General features: G+C 41.6%; 1 protein-coding gene and 1 long non-coding RNA gene across 5 annotated transcripts in view; one reads left to right on the top strand and one right to left on the bottom strand.

Annotated features, from left to right (window-relative positions):
• Positions 1-24,713, bottom strand: part of TMEM108 (transmembrane protein 108) — a 359,385-nt gene that overhangs the window by 25,232 nt on the left and 309,440 nt on the right. The window lies entirely within an intron of this gene.
• Positions 1-24,713, top strand: part of LOC101927432 (uncharacterized) — a 48,388-nt gene that overhangs the window by 9,250 nt on the left and 14,425 nt on the right. The window contains exons 1-6 of one of the 2 annotated variants that reach the window (NR_189053.1): positions 932-4,081; positions 7,299-7,613; positions 10,732-10,921; positions 11,787-11,907; positions 12,621-12,735; positions 12,857-12,946. This is a non-coding gene — a long non-coding RNA (uncharacterized LOC101927432). Of the gene's footprint in view, positions 1-931; positions 4,082-7,298; positions 7,614-10,731; positions 10,922-11,786; positions 11,930-12,620; positions 12,736-12,856; positions 12,947-24,713 lie in introns of those variants that run through there. The other variant, NR_189054.1, reaches the window with a different exon arrangement.

The following is a 24,713-nucleotide window of genomic DNA, read 5'->3' as shown; positions in this document are numbered from 1 at the left end:
CAACATGAATTCACCTTGTGCTGAAGCTCTAGGGGGCTGACAGACCATGGTCTCCTAAAAAACATATGAACAAACACACGTGAACACACACCCACACAGAGTAAGCATAGGCCTTTTCCCAGGGGTAAGAAACAGGGAAGAATGACAAATTTTCAGCTCAAGTCCCCCATCATCTCCACATTCACATATGGTTAAAGTCATTTGTCTGAGGTCAAAATGACCACCATGTAGCAGTACCAGGATTTAAACCCAGGTTTCTCTGATCCTGACTGCCCAAGAAATCCTGGAAACTGAGAAATTTTTGATCCAGGAAAATGTCCTACATGAGTAGAGGAATGCTTGATGAAGATAATAATAGTAACAGCTGTGATGACCATGACAAAAAAACAAATCTTTCCCCAAATGCAGCAACACTTGGGGGCAACTATGCTGCCTTTAATCTTCAGCTTTAGCTTTTTTGCCTTAGTCATTTGATTCAACTTGGTACAAACATTTCTCACCTAGAACTCATCTGAGAATTCTTCCTGGGCCTTGAAACTGTTGTTAGGAATCCCTCCTTGTGTGCTTATAACCTATAAGCTTATCTCTACTCCAGCTCTCACCTCTCTGAATGGAAATGGCCAGTGTCTTGTCTGTTTCCCTGTCTGAAGTGGAAGCTGCCAGGGCTGGGACCATGTCTGATTCCATGTTATATGCCCATATCTAGTCTAGCACCTAGGCTACAAGACATATTCGCTGAAGAATAAGAAACCCTCCTAAATCACTTACTAGCCATCTGTGGCAGCTGGTGTTTTCCAAAAATGACCACCACAGTACATTCCAATGTGCTTACTCTTCCTAAATGTGACTTTGGCTCTCCTGTTGACAGGTAAGGTCTATGTTCCTTCCTTTAAATCTGGGTGGGTTTTTTTTTTTTTTTTTTTTTTTTTTGTGGGTTTGTGACTGGCTGCAGTGATGCTACCTGACTTCTAAGGTCAGATCATAAAAGGTGGTATGGCTACTTCTTGGTTTTCTTGTGGTGCTTACTCTTGGGAGCCAGCTGCCATGCTGCGAGGAAGTCTGAGCAGCCCAGAGAGGGGCCCATGTGGAAAGGAACTGAGGTTCACGGCCTTCAGCCTCAGCCTAACTTCCAGATGATAGCAATACAACCCTGTTGGCCATGTGAATGAGCTATCTTGAAAGTGGACCTTCCAGCCCATCAAGCTGACTTAGACTCAGCCCATGCAGCTGAGTCTGGGGAGAGCAGAGACAAGTGACTCCTCCCCAGCTACAGACTTATGAGCAAAATGAATGATTGTTATTGATCTAAGCCACTATGTTTTGCAGTGGTTTGTTAGGCAGCAGCAGTAACTGGAATACCATCCATGTAGAAGTGAAATCAAAGCTCTTTCAGTGACCACTCTGGATTGAGACATCAAGGGCTTTTAAGTGCTGGAGCTCAACGGGCTGATTTTAACTTGGGTTTCCTTACTGTCCTCCTTTCCTGACCAGACTCAGAGAAGGGAAACATCTCAATGCCAGGCTCTTTCTACAGCATCATGATTTCTCTGATCAACAGCCACAGGTTCCCTCAGGGAAATAAGGAACAAATGCATACTAGGAGGGCCATGAAGCTTCCTGGCACACACACACACACACACACACACACACACACACACACACACACACACACTATGGGCTGGGGAAACAGACGGAATAAAGCTGGAGGCTGTTATATGGTGTCTGCATATTGAGGACATAGCCATTTCCTTTAAGGAGCTAATAGTATAGAAGGAAATACAATTTGCGGTGACAGGAGCATAAACTCACATACGAAAAGTGTTCTCTCAAAGACTTGCCTCACATAAACAAAAATGAGAGTCAAATTAGATGGATGAAAAGGTCAACTCAGCCTCTGATAAAATAAAAAGATCATTAATATTCATGGAACATCTCTCTGACATCATGGGAAAGAACACAAATGCATCAGTCCAGACTGCCTTGTACCCTCCCAAACTAAAAGGAAGAAGCTCATAAAAACTGTTCCCTGCTTTACAGTAGAGAACCAGAGAGACACGACCTCAGCCAGGTGGTCAAGGCCAGCATCCACAGTGATAATGTCATGATGACAATATGTACCCTTGATATGAAAGAGGTGCTTTATCTCTGTAGTTTTCCCCTCCCAAACCTATAATCCCAGTATAGTTATAAGAAAAACATCAGACAAATCCCAATTGAGGGATAGTCTATAAAATAGCTGACCAGTACTCAAAACTGCAAAGGGTCAGAAGCAAAGAAGGTCTGAGCAGCTGTCACAGCCAAGGGGAGTGTAAGGGGACATGAAGACTAAATGTAATGTGGTATCCCAGATGACATCCTGGAAGAGAAAAAGGACATTAGGCAAAAAAAAAAAAAAAAAGGGAGTCTGAACAAAGTGCTACTTCAGTTAATAATAATGTATCCATATTACTAACTGTGACAAATGCACTACAGTAATATAAGATGCTAATCACAGAGGAAAGTAGAAACAAGGCATCTAGGAACTCTGCACTACTGTTGCAACTTTTCTGTATAGTTAAAACTTCTAAATTTTAAAAATATATTTTTAAAATGGTGCATGGATGGCAGACAGCAGGGACAATGCAATGTGAAGGCTACCCCGTGGGGTGGGCTCTAGAAGGGGACATAACTGAAGGGAGGCTTGTAGGCATCTTTCCCAGCACCCTGGTGTGAGATCATGTACCCACAGATGCGGGCATGCAGGTGGCAAAGTAAGGGTATGGTTGCTGAGATGCTCCCTGCCTTAATGCCAGCTTCTGGATCCTTGGATCTCTTTTAGCCTAGTTGATAGATTCTAATCAAATTTACCTACTGATGTGCTTTGGAGTCCACTTAGAGAGAGGAGGGAAAATTCTAAGACTTGCTTTATCTGTCTATATTTCCTGATTCTTTTTAAACATTCTAATTCAAAGTATGGAGTTAGGTGAAATGGTCAGAGAGACAACAACCTGAACATACAGTTTTTAACCTGTTCAAATTCCAACTGCGGAGTCAGGGTAAACACCACCCATGTAATATAAACAGCCACTACTTTCTTGACCAAGCAGGCTGAATGAAAATCAAAGCTTATTTGTCAGTACCACGGGGCTAGATTACCCTGTTGCTTAAATGTGGAAGCCACATACGATGCTGGACACGGATACGTCCAGTCTCGTTCACAATTTCTGCCCATACTCCCTTCCTGCTCGGTGATGATGTATTCATCTCCAAAACCCAACTTGACTGTCTCTTTGTCTTGGCAAGGTCAAGGTCCCTCAACTCCCCAGGTAGAAATGGTGGCTCCCTGCCCAGTGCTCCCAGACACTCTGTTCCTGTTCCTATTGTGACTCTTCCCCGCAGAGACCTTCGGTAGAGGGCATAGTGGGAGGGCCATGGGCTTGGGGTCAGTGGGATTTGCGTTCAATCTTGGCTTTGTAATTTTCTAGTTGTAGACTTCAGGCAAATTAGTTAAGCTTCGTTTTTCTCAGCTGTATGAGAAGGAAAATAATGCCTATGTGCAGAGTGCTTTTAGGGTAGGAATATGCGATTAAGATGCTTGGAAAGCCCCACACAGTGCCTCACATTAAATAGGTGATAACTCTTATTTTAGTTTCTAAACTAAACTTATACCCTCCCATGGGGCTGTGAGTTCTTGAACGGAGCCATCTGGAGCCTCAGAGCTTAGTTCACTATCTGATACATCATAAGAGCACAATAATACTTTTGAAACCATGTGAGAATGAAAGAATAATTCCACACATTTGAGTTATTTGCAGCTGAATGCTTACCACAAAATCATAGATGTTTATTTCTTTGGAGACAATGTCAATGAAAGCAAGCAGTAAACAACATCAGTCCTGTGACATGCCAATTCAGGGTGTGTGTGTGTGTGTGAGTGCATGTATTTATCTTTTTACTTTGCTTGCTTCTGTGATTAACATTAACTGCATCAAATGCACACACATCCCACAGGCCAGAGTGAGGCAGGAGAAAGCTGAGCTGGAACCTAACTCCTGTTGATCTGCTGCAGAGACCCTCTCATTCCACAATTGCTCCCGCCATGGTAAGCTCCATTCCTAATTACCTAGGCAAACTGGCCTGCATTTCTCTCCAGAGTTCTAAAGGATGGTGTGAGAGTGTCTGCCAAGATTTGGATTTTACAGAGACAAGTCTCAGCTTTTGCTTTCTGGTTCAAGGTTTATGCTTTTGGAAGGCTGTGATGACAGCAGCAGGAAATAGGACAAATAGGAGTTTTTGTTAGGGGGGCAGCTAATAGAACAGCCTCATGAAGGACCTAGGCACACCCTAGAGATGCAAGGGACAGGCCTGCAGTGGTGGCTCCTATAAACCCAGTGCACTGAATCCCCAGAGCTTGCAGCCCATGGCTTGGGGTCTGGTCCAGTGCACTCGTCAGAGAGCATAACAGGACCTTTGGGACTCCTAGGGAACCTCTTGGAGAGTCCTGGGACCTGCCTAAAGTACCTGACTTGAGCACACCAGCATCTGTGTACCCTTAGCTTCAAATTCTCCAAAGCCAGAAAAGGAAAAAGACACAATGTCCTGGCCTGATCATGCCTGAGAATCACTTACCTAAAAAGAACATTGGGGCTTTTGACCTGACATCCTCCCAGGCATGCTGACATCTCTCAGCACTTTCTCTCCCCTCACAAAAGAACTTGTTGAGGAGGAAGGAGAAGAGGCAGCGGCTAGTGGTTAGCAGAGACAGTGGCCAAGTGTCCAGGAAGAGGGGATGGGCAGGCCTACCTGAGGAAGGGCTGATGTCTAAGGAGGGGGTCTGCTCCCTCTGGCACACAGCCTGCCTGCTCCTGAGACCCTGTGGCTTCTCCTGGAGCACTGTGCAAAGCTGCTTGGTATTCTCACTTGGTTCTGTTGGATGGCTGCAAAGCTGTCTGGCCCTGCTCTCCTCAGTTGCCAAAGGTTCACTGCCGGCTCCAGTTTGCCTGGAACGAAACAGCTCAGGCAACACAGCTGTGCATCCTTGTGAGACTGCCTAATTTCCCATTTCAAGGCAGGATGCCATACCCCAAGGTGTAATTTGAGTTTTGGGCATAAGCTGAATTTTGCAACTGAATTCTGAAACTCAGCCCTCCAGGCTGTGCGTGCTTGGGAATTAAAAAGCTTTCTTCTCCTTTTCCCTCCTCCACTATCTACCACCCTCCCCAATATCAATACTGATACCATCATTAATGTTAAATTTCTATTTATTGAGTGTCTACTATGTGCTAGGCACTTGTATGGCTGCACCTGACAGCAATGGCTTACCTTAAGCCTATCCTGAGAATGACACTATGGTCTAAGAAGAATGTGTGCTTGGAATTCCAAGCTAAGAAATCTGGAAGTGGCCGATCTGGAGATTCATTCCTTACTTATGGGAAACATCTAAACCTCTGGCCCATTTCATGGAATGCAGGCTGTACAGGGGACTGAAGCCCTTTGTTTTGGGTTAAATGAAAGTTGACAGGTGGAGGTTGTTAGGGGGAGGGCGCTAAGTGAAAATGCTATATCAACTGCATGCTTTTTACCAGCAGATGCAGTTCTATCCAGCTCATCACCACTGGACTCCTCTGTATGTGAGTCCCCTCAATAAACCTGATGTCTCATTTGCTGGCTGCAGGTCTCTTTTTCAGCCTGTTGAACATGGTACCATCACTACTGAAGTCAACAAGGGTCCAGCATGACAACACTGTACTAATCAATTTCCCTGTATCATCTTAATCTTCACAAAACCCTATGAGGTAGAAAAGGACAAATCTTAACCCATGTCCTATGTGATTATAAGGGTACTCACCCTCCACCTTTTAATTATTCTCTTTTGGGCTACAAATCTGTGGATCTGCATACCTGAATGATTCACTGTGGCTTTCTGGTAGAAAAACTAATAACACCATTTGTCCATGTCAAGCCAAGGAGACAAGCTCAACATACAAAGAACAAGGAGAGAACAATGGAAGATGGCCTATAATTCAGAAGCACATTGGGTGGAGCATATTGCACATGTAGAAGCTTGTCACGGAACCCAAGAAAGCTGGAGGAACCTGGGAAGGCTTCCTGGAAGAAGGGAAAGCTGAGTTCTCTTATCACCACTCCACCATTTGTTCATGTCCTCATGTACATATTCAACAAACATTTATTGAGGGCTGAGTGTGGCTTTGTGTATCCCAGATAAACTAGTATCCTGATCTTAGCCATGGATCTCAGCTGCTACTATCTCATTCCCCACCATGGGCAATAAGATGCATACTGGTAGGGAAAATTCTGGCAAATTTTGTAAAGTTTATCCATAGGCATAAACACTTTACCCTGTGTTATGCTCAGAAGAGGAACACACATTTATTAAGCACCTACCACATCTGCAAATAACTTTACTCCCAAAAACTGATTTGATACTTAAGCAGCTTTTGTAAGGTGTGTTTCATTCCCTAAAACTAAAGTTCAGAGAGGTTAAAAGATTTATCCAAGGTCACACATTCAAGGTGGAGCCAAGATGCACAACTAAGTCTATTACTGTTTTTTTCATACTCCCCCACTTCTCTGTCTCCCTCTTTCTATTCTCAGCTGCAGACTCTGCCAGCTGCAAACTTCTTTAGTAGTTATTCCTGATTACTTCTGCTCCTGGTGAGCTCATCACCTGATTAAAGGGCTCCTAGCTTCACCAGACCTTGGAGATGACAAACAGATGACCCTGGAGAGGCAGGCTCTCTAGGGCTGTTCCATTTTGGTCTGGCCCCCATTCCAGCCGGGGATATAGTTCAAACCCTGACTCTGAGTTGAGCCCAAGAAAATAAGACCAAGATGAAAGCTTAAGTGCATCCCCTGAAAGGCTCTTATCTCCAGGCTAAGCTTGGAAGTGGGGAGACAGAGCACCACAACCCAACTTGGGGATGTTGTCTCTTGTAGAAACACCTTCCTCAGTAACAGAAGGGTAGCTGCCCCTATGTCCTAGAGAGCGGGAGTAAGAGAAAGTGGCTCCTTGCCTCTGAGATTTGCTTAGCTGATCCTCCCTCACCCCAACCATAGCTCTTAACAAACCCAGGTACGCATAAATATAAATACCACCCTATGTGTATTTCCTGTGCCCTCCCTTTTCTCTTTCCTGAGGAGTTATGGAGAGAAAATAAATGCCAGAATTACAGAAAACTAGGTATAAATCTACTCACTAGCTTTATGGCCTTGCATCTATTTCCCATATAAGCTGGCAGGGTTGGGATTCTGTCTAGCTCTTTCCATTTATCATGATGTCCTCTTTTTGGTTCTTTTAGATTTTGCATCGGGTTGATGTAGTGGATGCTGTAGTCCACTACCCAGATTCCTTCCCCAACCCACAACAATGAGGTTCTCATTCCGGAGCTGCTAGGAGGGATGCCAGATAATAGCACACAGCTGAACTTCTCTTCAGCTATTGCCCTCAGATTAAGAAAGCTGCCTTGCTCAAGGTTACACGCCTTTCCTGGGAAACCAGTATCCAATGACTGGTTCCTGTAAAAGGAATGGAGCTGCCTTAAAAGAGCTGCCTTGCTTCAATTTGGGAAGACTATGAAGAGCCATCCCAGCTCTGGAGTTCTCCGTAGGGTTGGGTAAGGACTTGGCGTGACTGTGTTGCAGCCCAACTTCCCCCCCTGCCTGATCCGGCTTCTCTTACTTTCCTGAAGGTGTTGATTCTGGCAGTACTTCTGGAAAACCTCCTGTATGCAGATTTCCAGGTCCTAATCTGCTTCCTGGGAACCAGGTCTGCCACAGATGATATTTCAATTAATGTTCATGATGAGGGAGACAATTCTTCCTTCTTGTCAATCCTTTCCCATGTCTTTCTCCACAGTATTCCTTTCATCCAATTTAACATCCCTTTAAGGATTTACCCCTTTCAGGTAGGCTTCCTTCATGTACTCCTTCCAGGTTCTGGTCACTCTAATCATGACTGCCACTCTAATAGATGGTATATAAGCCTTTTATTCTTGTCATTATGTATTTTCTCACATCCTTCCATTATCCTGGAAGCTCATTATGACTAGGCGATTTCAAATTTAATTTTAAAATATTTCCTCTCAGTCATATACAGTGATGGTTGGAGGCACTTAATCCTGTTGGAAGAACATGTTTGACAAATCCCTTGTCAGTGCTTCACCTTCTTCTCACTCATTTAATTCATCCAGCACACACTTACTGGCTGTCCTGTCTGAGCTAAGCATTGCCTATGCTATGGGACACACAAAGAAATAATGTTTCCTTCCTACTGTTCAGGGAGTTGTAGTTGAGCAGGAAAGGCTTGTGGTAAAGTGGCTGACCCTGAGGCCAGACTGCCAAGGTTCAAACTTCTCTCTCCCAATTTCTAGCTCAGTGGCCTGGGACAAGTTATTTAAGCTCTTTGTGCCTGTTTCCTCACAAGTAAAATGAGAATTATAACAGTAGCCACCTCATTGGATTATTGTGAAGACTAAAGGAGTTAACATGTAAGGAGTCTGTACCACTGTCTGGTACACAGTAAGCATTATTTAAGTCTGCCTTGCCCAATATGGTAGACACTAGCCACATTTGGCTATTAAGCACTCTAAATGTAGTTGTGTACCGTTAAGTATAAAATATTAATATATATGCAGTTTCAAAGACTTAGTATGAAACAAGGTAGAATATTCCATTAATTTTTGTATTGATTACATGTTGAATTATTTTTGATATATTGGGCTAATTATTAATTTTCCACTTTAATTCATGTGGTTGCTATACAAATTAAAATTATATATGTGGCTTGTATATTTCTATTGGACAGTACTGACCTAAGTCTTTGCTATAAAAATAATAACAGGCCGGGAGCAGTTGCTTATGCTTATAACCCCAGCACTTTGGGAGGCCAAGGTAGGCAGATTGCTTGAGCCCACAAGTTCAAAACCAGCTTGGGCAACATAGCAAAACCCTGTCTCTAAAAAAATGCAAAAAATTAGCTGGGTGTGGTGGTGCGCACCTGTCGTCCCAGTTACTCAGGTGGCTGAGGTGGGAGGATCGCTTGAGCCCAGGAGGCTGCGGTGAACTGTGATCACGCTACTGCACTTCAGCTTGGATGACAGAGCAAGATCCTGTCTCAAAAAAAAAAAAATAATGAAAAGCAGAACATAAGAAATACCATCATAAAGGTATATGTACTGCCAGAAAAACTATTCTAAGAGTGAACAACCAGCATCGGTATCACCTGGGAATTTGTTGGAACTACAGACTGTTGGGTCCCTGTTCCAGATGGACTGAATTAGAAACACTGGGGAAAGGCTCAGCAAGCTATGTGTCCAGGTGATTCGGATCTGACCAAAGTGTAAGAGGTACTTCCCTAAGGGAGTACAGAGGGATCACTAACCAATTCAGTTAGAGGAGAAGACCAAGTTGTTCATCACAATAGTATTGGAGAAAAGGCAGGGCAGGGAAGGCCACACAGAAATGGTCCACGCATGTAGTAAGTTTGACATAAAAGTAGTTAGGTGGCCTACAGCACATCTCCATCCCATTCTGCTTGGCTCCTTTAGATGCTGCTTTTTCTGGAAACAACACCCTCTGGCCCGGCTGGGTCCCCTGCCCTCTGCACCTTTTTAATCTAAAGAGAGCCAAGAACAAATTGGATCTAAACTGTGTGCCCTCAATGAAAATAATTTGCATTTGTAAAGCGTGACCTCAAAAGGTGTGTTTATTATTTCCTGTATTGTGCTAGCACCAGCAGGATGTGGGGCAGATGGACAACCCAGGTTCAGAGAGAGTGCAAGAGAGAAGCAGCAAGAGCTCAGGAGCCAGCTTGTGACAAGCGGATCAGCCTCTAAATAGAGCTGCTTCCTGAGAGCACCATAAGCTAGGGGAGGATTAGAGGTGGCTGCAGAGCTCCTTTCCTATTAGGAAAAGATTCTACACTAACTCCATGATTTTGCACTTCGTATTTATAGCCTTTATTTTATTTTGGGCTCCTACCAAATGAATGCGTTACAGCTGATAAAGCCCAAAATTTGCCCTTGGTCTTCAGTAGGGTCATAGAGAGGGACATGAGTCCAAAGAAGCCCCTGCACCATGGTGTGGGTATGACACATTGTGAATTAAAGGATTTGGTAGCTCTGGCCACATTTGTTTCCCTGGGGGAGTAGGAGTGGAGGGCTGGAAAGAAGGGGCTCCATGGGACATCATCACTGTGGAGGAGGCTGCAGGTTCAGAACAAACTCATCTTTCTACAAAAGCCTTTTTCACCCCACCCACAACCAGTTTCCTTTTTATTTTCAGCTTGTGTATTTGCAGGCATCTTTGCTCATAACAATGATATCATCTTCATGCACAGCGAATTATGTTGCGGAACTTTTGGGCCTGCAGCAAAGTTTCTGTTACAGCATTTCCTGGAAGTATCCTTGGGTCTGTGACCCTCATCTCCCCACAGCAGGAAGGGCAAGCATCACATCATCAGTATTGAAAGGTGCATCAGGTTTACTGGCAATAGCACTAATAATGCTAATTATAGAAGTGATAGTGAGGTGGGGGGGTGGTGATAGGAATGGTCAAATACATATCATTTATTTGGTCCTACTTTTTCCAGGTGTTAAGCAGTTTTCTACTATGCCAGGTTATATTTTCCAAACATGACTGTACCAAAATATCTCATCCCATAGGTTCTTACAATGTGATGTTGCTATTTACTGAGAAGTGGTGTCTGCATTCCCTCCTCTTTCATATGGCCAGGTTTTTGAGACTATGCAGAAGTTATTCCATGAGTTCCAAGCCCAGGTCATGAAAGATAACTTGTAATAAATCTGGCTACCCTGAAGCTGCCATGCTTGAGAGACCACACGAGATGGAGAGAGATGCTTAGGAGTCCCAGCTGTCCAAGCCTCCAGCTATGTGAATCTTCCCAGCAGCAACTGCCAGACATGTGAGTGGGCAAATCTTCAGGTGATTTCAGCCCAGCTGATGCCAACGGAAGCCGAGACAAGCTGTCCCCACTAAGTATTTTCCAGATTGCACACTTTCAAACAAAATGAATGGTGTCATTATTTTAAGATGCTAATTTTTGGGGTGGTTTTATTGCTCAGCATTAGTAAATGGAACTCCTCCGCTACCTCATTAAACCCACATGATAACCTTTTAAACTAGGTATTATGATCATAGTTATCTTACAGATGAGGAAACATACAAATGGATTAAGTAATTTGCCTAAAACTTCACAGCTGGAATGTAGCAGAGCTGAGCCACAGTCCAGGACTGTCTTGCTCTTAGTGCAGGCTCTTTGAGTCACACCTTACCTGGCTTGGCCACACTCTAATGCATGTGCTACAATCCCTAGTGGGTCTGTCGCAATGCCTAGAAATGTCTGCTAGATTACATATGACTCTAGATAGACAGCTATAAGCAGAAATGATTGCAAGGTTTAAAAATGTGTCATAGGAAAGACAACTTATCCTTAAAGGTCTGCAAGTAAGGTTGATTCCTATGTCCAGTATGAAGAGACACGATCTTGAAGTGGGAATAGGAACAAAGGATCCAGGTGGTCTTGAGGTTACATGAGGGCTGTGATGTCCTAGAACTCTAGTGGCCTTTTAGAGATCAGCCTATATTTTTTTGTTTGTTTTTACCATTCATAATAGTATTTTAATCAGGAAATGTGTTCTAAGAGTCAAATAGCTTCTTCACTGTCTCTTACCTTGAAGTCCAGTTGGTTTGTAAACTGGAGATAGCCCACTGGGGATAATCTTTCAAGGCTGCAGTGAGGTCTGATGTGCTGCTTACATTTTCACCAGGTGGTACACCCAAAATGACTTTGGGGCTACACTTGGAATTGGCAAGGTTCCAGAAAACAGAGGGACTATCATCAGAGACAGCGCACAAAAAGTGGGAGAAAGGTCACCAGCCTCACTCATGGTGAGTGGGAACCTTCAATCAGGTGAAGCAGCTTTGCTTCTGCAGAACTAGTTTTCAGACCAGATCCCTCAGCTGGCTTGGACAAAGAACAAATGCAGTTACGGGCTGCTCATTTGTATTTCTCTGGGAGTTCCAGAGAATGGATGCCTAGAGGGTGACAGTAACCTTCTGCAATCAACTGTAGGGCTGCTTGACCCCATTTTAAAATTATTGAATATCCCTTACTCCTTCATTGTTCCCTTTTAAGAGACATTTCTTTTCTTTTTAAAATTAACTTTATTGAGGTATGATTTACATACAATAAAATTCACCATTTTAAGTGCACAGATTGGCGAGTTTTGGCAAAAGTATACGCTTGTGTAGCCACTACTATAATCAAGACACAGAACACTTCTGTCTCTCCATAAAGTTCCCTTGTGTCCCTTTACAGTTAAATCTCCTCCCCAACCCTCACTCCAAGCAAATGATCTGCTTTCTATCACTGTAGGTTTCTTTTGTGTGTTCTAGATTTTTACAAAAATGAAATTAAATAGAATCTTTTGTGTCTGGCTTTCACCAAGCCTAACATCTGCGAAATTTATCCATTTGCTGCAGGTATCAGTGGTTTGCTTTTTTTTTTTTTTTTTTTTAACTGTTGAGTAGTATTCCATTACAGGGATATGACCAATTCGTATATTCATTCATCTGATGATAAACAGCTGAATTGTTTCCAGTTTAGGGCTATTATGAATAAAGCTGCTATGAACACTTGTTTACAAGTTCTTTGTGAGGACACATGTTTTCATTTATCTTGGGAAAATACCTAGAGATGGAACTCTGGGACACATGGTAAGTGTCTATTGAACTTGATTAAAAACTGCCAAACTGTTTTCCAAGTGCTTTACTATTTTACCTTTTGGTTTAAAAATTTAATTATGTTGACTGACAGATGGATTAATTGATTGTTTAGGTAATAAAGTATATTGGCATAATGCAAGAGTCAAGATGCAGAAAATAACTACTGTGTGATGTCTCTCTCCCAGCTTTAACCCGCCTGAAGGTGAGTAGCATTACCAGTTCCTCATGGACCTTTCCAGACACAATTAAAACGTCACAAGCAAACACTTAGCTACATTTTCCCTCTCCTACTTTTCACACAGATGAGTGTGTCCTGGACACACCTTGTTTTTCTCACTTAACAATGTATCTTGGCTATTGTTAAAGAGCCATTTCCCAAAGTGTGTTCTCAGGAGCTCTACCCATCACTCTGTACTTGTAAGAAAAGGGTTCCCAAATAAACTTGGGAAAATGCTGCAAACTATGGCAACCTCTTAGAAATTCATAATGCACATTAACTTATTAAAAACTCTAAGAAGTCCTGGAATTAAAAAGCAGGGTTTCCAAAATGATTTGACTATAGAATTTTCTTGCCAGCAATACCTATTTAACATTTTGCAGAATGAGAATTCTGTAGAATACTCTCAGGGAGGCACTTATGGGAGTCAACAACTTTACTTTCTGTAAATGATCAGATAGTAAACATTATAGGCTTGATGGATATGGTCCTGACCAAAATTACAGTACTCAATTTTGCCACTGTAGGGTGAAACCACAGATCTGATGTAAATGAACGGGTGTGGCTGTTTCAATATAACATTATTTATAAGAAGAGATGGCAGGCTGTAGTTTGCCAACTCCTGATCTAGAGATGGCAGGGGTTGAGGTGGGGAAGGTTCCCAATAAGTTTTCAAAGTGTTTCCCCAAGGCCTGTTTGTGTTGCTTTCTCCCTACATGCTCCCATATCCTTCTCCACCCCAACTAATCTGCCACCACAAAGTTTAGAAGAGGGATGGGAAGGGAGGAGAGAAGTGAACAGAAGCAAAAGAAGTAGCTGTGGGTTAGGGGAGAAGGGACAGGAGAGAGTGAATTGGAGGGAAGGTGTCCTGGAGCAGAGGCTGGAGAAAATAAAAACTTCCAAGAGCAGAATGAATAACTGCTCAAAGAGAAACCACTTCCCTACCCTCTTTTCCTCTCCTTCCCCTCTATTCCCCTTTATGCCCAGAGAGTCCACCTGGAGCACTGGACGAAGGCATCCGTGCAGCACATTCTCATGCTCTATGTGAATAAATACATAATGGAGGCTTTTGGGCTTGGGCTTCAGCATCTCCATCTGTAAGACTATAGACTTGGCCAGGCACGGTGACTCACACCTGTAATCCCAGGACTTTGGGAGGCTAAGGTGGGTGGATCATGAGGTCAGGAGTTCGAGACCAATCTGGCCAACATGGTGAAACCCCGTCTCTACTAAAAATACGAAAATTAGCCAGGCGTAGTGGTTCGCGCTTGTAATCCCAGCTACTTGGGAGGCTAAGGCAGGAGGATTGCTTGAACCTGGGAGGCAGAGGTTGCAGTGAGTTGAGACTGTACCACTGCACTCCAGCCTGGGTGACAGAGCAAGACTTCATCTCAAAAGGAAAAAAAAAAAAAAGACCATAGACTCCTTAATAGCTTCCTTCTTCAAAGATGCCATGAAATTTTTGTTGCCCAAGTCAAAACCATCTGAGGACAAGTGAGCTTGTGGCCAGGTAAGTGGTAGACATATGTGATTCTGGGAGTAAATTTTATGAGTTTTTCATGTAACAACTGGGCAACAGGTACAATAGTTATCTGAAGAAACTATAGCTTGTCTTTGTTTTTCATTTTCTATTATTAAGCTATATTTTTTAATCAGTATTTTTGGGGTACAGGTGGTTTTTGGTTACATGGATGAGTTCTACAGTGGTGAATTCTGAGATTTTAGTGCATCTGCCACCCGAGCAGTGTATGCTGTACCCAGTATGTAGTCTTTTATCCCTCACCCGCCTCCCAACGTCCCCCTACACTCTGAGTCCCCAAAGTCCATTATATCACTCTGTATGTCTCTGCATCATCATAGCTTAGCTGCCACTTATAAGTGATACCATACAGTATTTGGTTTTGCATTCCTAAGTTACTTCACTTGGAATAATGGACTCCAGCTCCATCCAAGTTGCTGCAAATCACATTATTTTGTTTCTTTTTATGGCTGAGTAGTGTTCCATAGTGTATGTATACCACATTTTCTTTATCCATTCGTTGGTTGGTGGGCACTTAGGTTGGTTTCATATCTCTGTAATTGTGAATTGTGCTGCTATAAACATGCATGTGCTCGTATCTTTTTCATATAATGACTTCTTATTCTTTGGTAGATACCCAGTAGAGGGATTGCTGGATAGAATGATAGATCTACTTTTAGTTCTTTAAGGAATCTCCATACTGTTTTCCATAGTGGTTTTACTAATTTACATTTCCACCAACAGTGTAACAGTGTTCTTTCACCACATCCACGCCAACGACTATTGATTTTTGACTTTTAAATTATGGCCATTCTTACAGGAGTAAGGTGGCATCTCACTGCGGTTTTAATTAGCATTTCCCTGATGATTAGTAATGTTGAACATTTTTTTCATTTTTAATGGCCATTTGTATATCTTCTTTTGAGAAATGTCTTTTTATGTCCATTGCCCACTTTTTGATGGGATTGGTTTTGTCTTGCTGATTTAAGTTCCTTGTAGATTCTGGATACTAGTCCTGTGTTGGATGCACAGTTTGCAAATACTGTCTGTTTACACTGCCTATTTTACTGTGTAGAAGCTTTTTAGTTTAATTAGGTCCTATTTATTTATGTTTTTGTTGCATTTGCTTTTGGGTTCTTGGTCATAAATTCTTTGCCTAGGCCAATGTCCAGAAGAGATTTTCCAACGTTATCTTCTAGAATTTTTATAGTTTCATGTCTTAGATTTAAGTCTGATCCATCTTGAGTTGATTTTTGTATAAGGCGAGGGATAGGGATTCAGTTTCATTCTTCTACATATGACTTGCCAGTTTTCCCAGCACCATTTATTAAATAGGGTGTCTTTTCCCCAGTTTATGTTTTTGCATGGTTTGTAGATCAGTTGGCTGTAGGTATTTGGTTTTATTTCTGGGTTCTCTATTCCGTCCCATTGGTCTAAGTGCCTGTTTTTATATAAGTACCATGCTGTTTTGGTAACTGTAGCTTTGTAGTATAATTTGAAGATTGGTAATGTGATGTCTCCAGATCTGTTCTTTTTGCTTAGTATTGCTTTGATTATGTGGGCTCTTTTTTGGTTCCATATGAATTTTAGAATTGTTTTTTCTAGTTCTGTGAAAAATTATAATGGTATTTTGACAGGAATTGCATTGTATCTGTAGATTGCTTTTGGCAGTCTGGTCATTTTCACAATATTGATTCTTCCCATCTATGAGCATGGGATGTGAATCCATTTGTTTGTGTTATGTGTCATTTCTTTCAGCAGTGTTTTGTAGTTTTCCTTGTAGAGATCTTTCACCTCCTTGGTTAAGTATATTCCTAGGGTTTTCTTTTTTTTTCAGCTGTTGTAAAAGTGATCGAGTTCTTGATTTGATTCTCAGCTTGGTTGTTTTTGGTGTATAGCAGTACTACTGATTTGTGTACATTGATTTTGTAACTTGAGACTCTGCTGAATTTGTTTACAGATCTAGGAGCCTTTTGGATAAGTCTTTAGGGTGTTCTATATATATGATCATATCATTGGAGAACACTGACAGTTTGATTTCCTGTTTTCCAATTTGGATGCCCTATATTTCTTTCTCTTGACTGATTGCTGTGGGTAGGACTTCCTAGTTCTTCTTTTTTAGGTCCCATATTTCATCAAATGTAAGAAGAAATACACTATTTTTTTGTGCCAGTTAGAAAGAAAAAAGCTAGCAATTAAACTATGTCACAATGGTTTCTTCCATTTACAATCTTTATTCTATCCTTATTGAAAGAACTCCTTTAGACTTATCTAACCAGTTTATCATACATCCCTGCTGCCTTCAGTTATAGTAAGTAGTGTGTAACTGCCAATCTTTTTGCAAGCATCTCAGCAACAAAATACCTAGTTTCAACTGCTCCGTGAGTGTCTTCTTTCCTTTGTTCCGTTGTAGAACTTGGTTGTTGCTTTGGAATATGGAATGGAGACCATTCTCACAATGATGACATTTGTTCCATGAATATCAAATTCCTGGCCTGCTGGTCTGCTTGCCCTTCTGCACACACAACAACTTTTTGTTTCAATGCTAAATCACAGTAAATCTTTGTGAAGGCTTTTAAAACAGCAGTTAAATACACATAGCACCAATGATGCATTTGCCTCAAATGGAGAGATGATGAGGTGAACAACTACAACCAATATTCACCCATCACAGGCAATGGTAACTACGTCATGAGTCTGGCTCACAGAGACCATAAGACACATCCTGGTTTCAGAGATATTAAGATAAACAGGAGTTTCTCTAACAACATAAGCCTAGATGAAGATGTGTATTTAATTAAACAAAGTTCTAATTTTGAACTTTAGGAGGTAAAAACAAAAAAGAAAAAAAGGAAAAAACCAATGGCCTCAAAGCAGCATGTTGTATCATTTTTCTTCTTTATAACCATTCACAAATGCTGTGCAGTGACATTTAGATACACCCAGCTGAATATCTGTGCACTGGAAGTCACGTGGGTGGAAATAGGTCTCACTATGGAATTCTTGTAGGTGCGAACTTGGTATGACCCACAAAACTGTATCTTTACACTTGCCTACCCTTCCTCCCATGAGTTCAAAAAGGATCTTACGGTTTACATAATGAAATATGCATGAGTATGAAGTGACGATCATTTTAAAGTAAGAAAATCAGAAGTGAACTACAGCTAGTTTTTTTTTTTTAAACATGTGCTTAGTACATATGCCAAAGGAATGTGTAAAGGAAAAAGCCAAATTAGGAATTTATATCCATTTGAAAAAAAAATGGTTATATGACATTTAAAGTAGAATGTGACAAGCTTCTGCTACCAGTGAAAAAGTCTGCCTGGCTCCTTATGCCCCTCTCTGAGCTGGGCTTGCTGGGTTCTGTTTAATGGGGGAGGGGGTGCATGATGGGGTGGCAGGAAAAGTACCCTGCTATATGGCCAACCTCTTCTGTCACAGACCTTGTGTCCTTCTCCTGCTCAAGGATAAGGTCTGTCTTACTCCAAACCTCTGTTCTTTCTATCTTATGCTAATTCACAGAGGTGCTGCAAGAATCCAATATAAAAATGCCAATACTTCTGTTCTGTACAACTCACTGTAGCAAACAAGCTTCCCTGCAAAGCTCCCGTGGAGATGGGGCTGAGCGATTCAATGTTCTAGATGTCAGCTCACCATTCTGTGCCCCTGTAATGTGGCTAGAGTCTCAGATGCCTGGCCAGGTCTCTTGGGTGGCTCCACATGATCTGAATCTCCAGATGTGCCCCAGCCAGGCAACATCCCCAGCTGAGAGCTTTACCAGCAGACCCCTGATGTGGTGTATATCGTGCTCTCACCACAGACATGGAGGTCTGAGATGACAATGTTGGTCTGTGATGTATGTCTTTCATTTTTTCAAAAAGGCTTCAAGGTGGTTTATAACAGAACAGGCACAGACATAAGTTTTATAACATAAAAACTGACGTCAAGGCTTAATAGAGAAATAGGAGTCTAAAATGAGCTGAAGCAGAGGTGGAATAAACACAGCAGGGAGAAGCAAGAGCCACCTGTGAAAGTCCATGCTGCTCACCCTGCCTCCTGCAGCCTTATTGCTAAGCAAGCTTAAAGGACACAAGCAAATCAATGGACACAAGCAAACTAATGCTTCTCCAGAATGTCAAGAAACAAAGTTTGGAAGAGACCATGTGCCTGCCTGGTGCTTATAAAGCAAAGCTTGGGCAAATAGGCTGTATGATTAAATTGAATCGTCGGCAAGACACACTGTTCGTTTTCTGAAAGGGAGAGCCTGAACAAAGATTGGGGAAGATAAAAAGGTTCTTGGCAGGCTCCTAAACCACCTCTATGTGTGTAAGTTTAAGAAGTGATTACTTCCTCCCACTTGTACCACCTTTCTTTCCCCCAACTAAAATCTCAAATCCAGGACTTTCTTTGCCAGTCTACAAGCATACAGGTGATATAGAGTTGAGACAGACCATACACCCACTTCAAGTTAGAGTAAGATCCTAATTTATTGGGTCAGAGACGTGTGACCACACAGGCAAAGGCAGATACAGCAGTCCTTGTCATGGGGCCCCTCCTGGCATTCATTTCCCTGATGGATAAGACGTTTATGGTAATATGAAGTCACACTGGATTCTTGCTCTGCCACTGCTCTTGCAGGCTTGAACTTAAATCTCCATTTTGGAAGACCAGTAGTATACTGCATATGCTTCTATTTAAGGAATTCTTACAAAGAAGGCTCTCCTGATGCTTAAGACAGAATCAGCATTAGATTGTACTCCATAGCTTCAACTTCATGGAGGTTGGAATGTGTGGATAAGGGTGGCATTATTAATACCCTGACTTCCCTGAAAACATCTTTGTCTCTAGCTTTCCAGTATTTGGGAAAGGATCTCCTCCACCCCCAGCATGTCATTCTTCTGTTCAAAAATCACGCTGGCTTCTTTGTTTCACGAGACATTTCAAGGTCAAGATCACAAAGGTGGTTAAGTGGTTGTGACATAATAAGAAATATATATTTGGTCTCTGCCTGGTTTCTTGGCACACAGCTTCTTTTTGTATGCTAATGAGATGATGGTGGCTGGGGGCTCCTGGAAAGCCTCCAGATGGGGGCTGGTTGCCAGGGGAACCAACCAAGTGATTAGAGGGCTGGAACTTTCAGCCGGAACCCCTGACCTCTGGGGAGAGGAGGAGAGGGGTTAGAAGTTGAGTTCATTGCTAATGGCCAGTGATTTAACCAAGCATGCCTATGTAATGAAGCCTCCATCAAAACCCAGAATGATAGGGTTCAGAGAGCCTCTGGATTGCTGAACACATAACAGTGCTAGGAGGGTGGGATGCCCAGAAAGGGCATGGAAGCTCTGTGCCCCTCCCATATACCTTGCCCTAGGCACGTCTTCTTTCTGGCTGTTCCTGAGTTGTATTCTTTTCTAATAAAGCAGTAAGCTACTAAGCATATGGTTTTCCTGAATTCTGTAAGCTGTTCAAGCAAATTATTAAACCCGAGGAAGGGGTTGTGGGAACCTCTGATTTACTGCCACTCAGTCAAAAGCATAGGTGGCAACCTGGACTTGTGACTGGCATCTAAAGTGGGAGCAGTCTTGTGGGGCTGAGCTCTTAACTTATGGGATCTCATGCTATTGCCAGGTAGACAGTATAAAAATTGAGTTAAATTGTAGAACACCCAGTTGGTGTCTGGAAGTTGGAGAATTGGCTAGTGTGGGAACCCACTGCCCCCAACATTTGATGTCAGAAGAGTTGTGTGTTGAGTATGAGCACAAAGAAAAGCAGTTTGGTTTTTCCTATCTAGTAAAAGGGTTGAAACTTGAACCTGCGTTTTCTAACTCTTCAGAATTATGACTCCCTATCACACATGGGCATGTATGGCAGCAACTAGAATTCCCAAGCCCAATGAAGCTATGTTCTGTGTTTTTGTTTAGTTACCATGCCTGTTAGCTTGACATGAAAATAAATTTGTAAATAAGATGCTCAAAGTGGTCATGAGATTACCCAAGGTGTAATCTTAAAGTTTAAGAATGAGGTTAACATTAGCTTTTAAGATGATACCAACTTTGTATTCTAGGGTTATGTGTGTGTATATGATAAGTAGTTCTCAACCTTGCTTCTCAATGGAGTCAACGGGGTTTTTAAAAACTCCCCAAGTGGATATAATGTGAAGCCAAGACTGAAAGTCACTGATCTAATAACAGCTGCACACTAAGTCCTCTGCTGATGAGCTGCATAGCCTGAGAGGAACTGGAGGTGGTAGGGAGAGTGATGTCCTTGGAATGAGACAGACTTAGTTCACATCCAGGTGGCTCAGGAGAGTGCTTTCAGCTGTGTGATCTTGATCACTTTGTGCCTCACTTTCCTCATCCATGAAATAGAGGCTTATGAAGACTTCTGTGATAATATAGGAAAGTGCATCTCACAGTGTCTGGTACAGCCATCATGGCTGCTATGATCGATTATTATTAATCCTGAGGGTGTCTTCCTCCTTCCTAGAGTATCATCATCTCATCCTCCCTCAGCCTTCCCAAGGGCTCAGAGCAATGTAGCAAGTGAGAACCTGGGACACCAAGACAGGGCCTCCAGAAAAAGCCTGTGCTTCATGTTCCACAGTCTCTATGGCCTCAACTTTTTAAAACCGGCAAACAAAAGTGGGGAGAGGCCACCCAGGATGTGCAAGTTGCAGGGAGAGGAAGGAGCCGGTGGGAGAATATTCCCTGGAGGCCATGCTCTCTTTACCACATGCTGAGTTTGAAGTAAGCAGGGCCGTAAGGGTGATTGAAGATCAGCACCTTCCCACCAGACACACAGGTGAAATAAATTTGAGGTCTCACAGGAGCAAACAGCTCAGGCTGAAAACCTGAAAACCAAGGCATAGCCTGTTTTTTAGGGTTTGAGAAAAGCAGTGCTGGAACGAAAGGCCAGTCCTCATAGGCAAGCAAGGTCACACTAGGACCACAGTGTGGTGCCTTTTTGTACTGTTTTCTTCTCCCACCTATACCCCCAACCTCAATAAAACCAATTGTCAAGATTGTTGTTTTACAACTCTTTAAATCTGATTTGGAGAATATCACAACCTGGTGTGGTGGGAAAGAAACAGGCTTTGTAATATAACTTAGGGAATCCTGGATGTCAATGTCATATCTTTCCTTTCAGTCTCCTGCCTGGAGGGTGTGGCTCTGGTTACTGATACTTTGCCAGCAAGCTAGGAAGAGGGCCAGGGTCTCAGCATTCAGTATGTAAAACTGCCTTTACACCCTATTTTTGTATACAATGCTTGGTGTTTCCATAGTCATTCAACCAATTCTCTGACCTGTAGTTCCACCTCCACCCCCATTCCCAGGGGTTCCTGGAATTACTGCCGAATCTTAAGGTTTTGGGAGGTTCTATAGTTGGTTCTAGGTCTTCCTGACTCCTAGTTTAGGATTCAACTTCATCAGGTTTCCAAGGAAGTTACCCTTTCTCCATTTGTTTTCTAGATTTTGGTTTTTATTTTTTAATTGACAAATTGGAATTGTACATATTTATAGAGAACAATTTGATGTTTTGGTTAATATCTACATTGTATAATGATCAAATCAGGGTATTTAGCATATCTATTACCTCATGCATTTATCATCTTTTTTTTTGTGGTGAGAACCACCTTCACAAGCCTCTCTTCTAGTATTTAGTAATACACAATGTTTTACTATTAACCATAGTCACCCTACTGTTCAATAGAACACTAGAACCTATTTCTCCTGGTTGTAACCTTTTACCTATTAACCATCCTCTCCCCATTCTCTCCTTCCTCCCCTCCCAGTCTCTAGTAATCACTGTTCTACTCTTTGCTTCTATATCACCTCTTTTTCTTTTTTTAGATACCACATATGAGTGGTGAGATCATGTAGTATTTGTCTTTCTGTGGCTGCCTTATTTCACTTAACATAATGTCCTCCAAGCTGATCCATGTTGTTGCAAAGGACAGGATTTCCTTCATTTTTATGGCTGAATAGTATTCCATTGTGTACATATACCACATTGTCTTTATTCATCCATTGTTGGATACTTAGGTTGATTCCATATCTTCACTATTTTGAATAATGCTGCAATAACCCTAAGAGTGCAGATATCTTTTGATATACTGATTTCCTTTGGATATATATACAGTAATGGGATTGGTGGATCATGTGGTAGCTCTATTTTTAATTTTTTGAGGAACTTCCATACTGTTTTCCATAATGGCTGTACTAGTTTACAATCCTACCAACAGTGTGCAAGTGTTTTCTTTTCTCCACATCCTCACCGGCACTTGTTTTCTTTTGTCTCTTTTAAAATAATAGTCACTTTAACTGGATGAGATGGTATCTCATTGTGGTTTTGATTTGTATTTCCCTCATGGTTAGTAATGAGCATTTTTTCATGTATCTGTTGGCCATTTGTTTATCTTGAGAAATGTCTGTGAAGGTCTTTTGCTCATTTAAAAATCAGGTTAGTTTTTTTTTTGCTATTAAGTTCCTTATATAGTCTGGATATTAACCCCTTGTCAGATGTATAATTTGCAAATATTTTCTCCCATTCTTTAGGCCATCTCTTCACTCTGCTATTTCCTTTGCTGTGCAAATGTTTATTAGTTTCATGTAATCCTATTTGTCTATTTTTGCTTTTGTTGCCTGTGCTTTTAACTTCTTAAATTATATTGCTGTGTTTGCTCTCCTGTTTTCTTTGTTCTTCTGGTCTACTATTTTAAATAATCCCTTTACTATTTAATGAGGCTTTGATTACATGTGTTTATATTGTGCCACATTAAACCAGCATTCAACCCTAGATTTGAATGCCTCCTCTGTTATGTTCCTGTGATGGGACTTTGAAGAAGTTACTTAAACTCTATAGGCCTCAGTTTTGGTCAACTTAAAGGGGAAAAATAGTATTATATTTGTATTCCTTTGGCTATTAATGAAATTGAACACTTTTCCAGAAGTTTATTGCTCACCTGTATATTTTCTTTTGCTCAAGAGCACTGTCTGCTTTTTTCCTGTAATATTAGTCTTTAAAAATCTATTGTGAGTATTTTTTAATATGTCAAGGCTAGAAACTTGGTAACAATCATGTTTACTGAAAATATTTTCCCCCAATAGTTTGTCTGCCTTTGATTTTGTTTTGTCTATGGAGTTTTGTTTTGTTTTTGACCAAAGAAAAGTCCTTCCCAATCCTGTTTTTGGAAATATTTACCAATATTTTCCTCTATTTGTTTTATAATTTCATCTTCTACACTATGTAGTGGATGTTGTGTGCCACTCAGGTCCCCTCTTGAAGACTTAGGCTCTCATTCCCGAATTTCTTGGACTGTTGGATGCTGATGGCTCATTGTTCAATCTCTCTCCCAGAAATCTCACTGAGCCAAAGGGAGTTGCCTCACCCTACACCATGCCCCTCCAGGGTAAATCCCACATTCAACACCTGGTTGATGTCAGGGAACACAGGCCCTTGTCTCAATTTGGGACAGCTGTGATGGGCTAGCCCAGCTCCCCAGCTACCTGTGGAGTCAGCTGAGCTCTTCATATTAGCATGTATTAGAGGGACTGCCCGCCTCCACTCCGCTTCACTCTATCTCCCAGTGCACTCAACACTAAATGCCCTATACTAAGACTTCTCCCCAAGGTTTCCTGAGAAACCAAAGACAAAAAGTTCAATCCATTTGTAATTTACCTTGATATACTGTGTGTGATGAAGCTCTAACTTATTTTTTCCAAGTAATTAATTCTCCTAATACCATTTACTGACTTATCCTTTGCCCAGATTTTGAACTGCTACCTTTATTATATTTAAATTTTAAAAATATAATAAAACTGTTATAAACAAACTGTTTCAGGGCTATCTAGTTACCCTAATCTGTTCTCTTATATTTGTAATACAATATTTTGATTAATATTACTTAATGACATGTTTTGATTTTTGGTAAAGCAAATCTGGCCCCCCCCTCATTACTCTTGTTTTTCAAAAATATCTTTACTACTTGTTTCTGTTTATACTTTTAGATAAACTTTGGACTCATTTTCCATAGGTTAATTAAGAATTCCATTATTAGAATTTTGATTTGGATTTCAATAAGGCTATTTATTATAACTAATTTGGGCAATCCTGGCAATATTAAATCTCCCTTTGAGATAGAATGTGATCTCTCTCTTCATTAATTCAAATCTTCTTTTATGCTCCTTCTTGCAGTGAGGCTTTATAGTTTTCTTTCTGTGTTGGTTAAATATTAAG

The sequence above is a fragment of the Homo sapiens genome, chromosome 3 (genome assembly GCF_000001405.40).
Source record: "Homo sapiens chromosome 3, GRCh38.p14 Primary Assembly".
NCBI lineage: Eukaryota > Metazoa > Chordata > Mammalia > Primates > Hominidae > Homo > Homo sapiens.
This window is presented reverse-complemented; position numbering and strand designations above follow the sequence as displayed.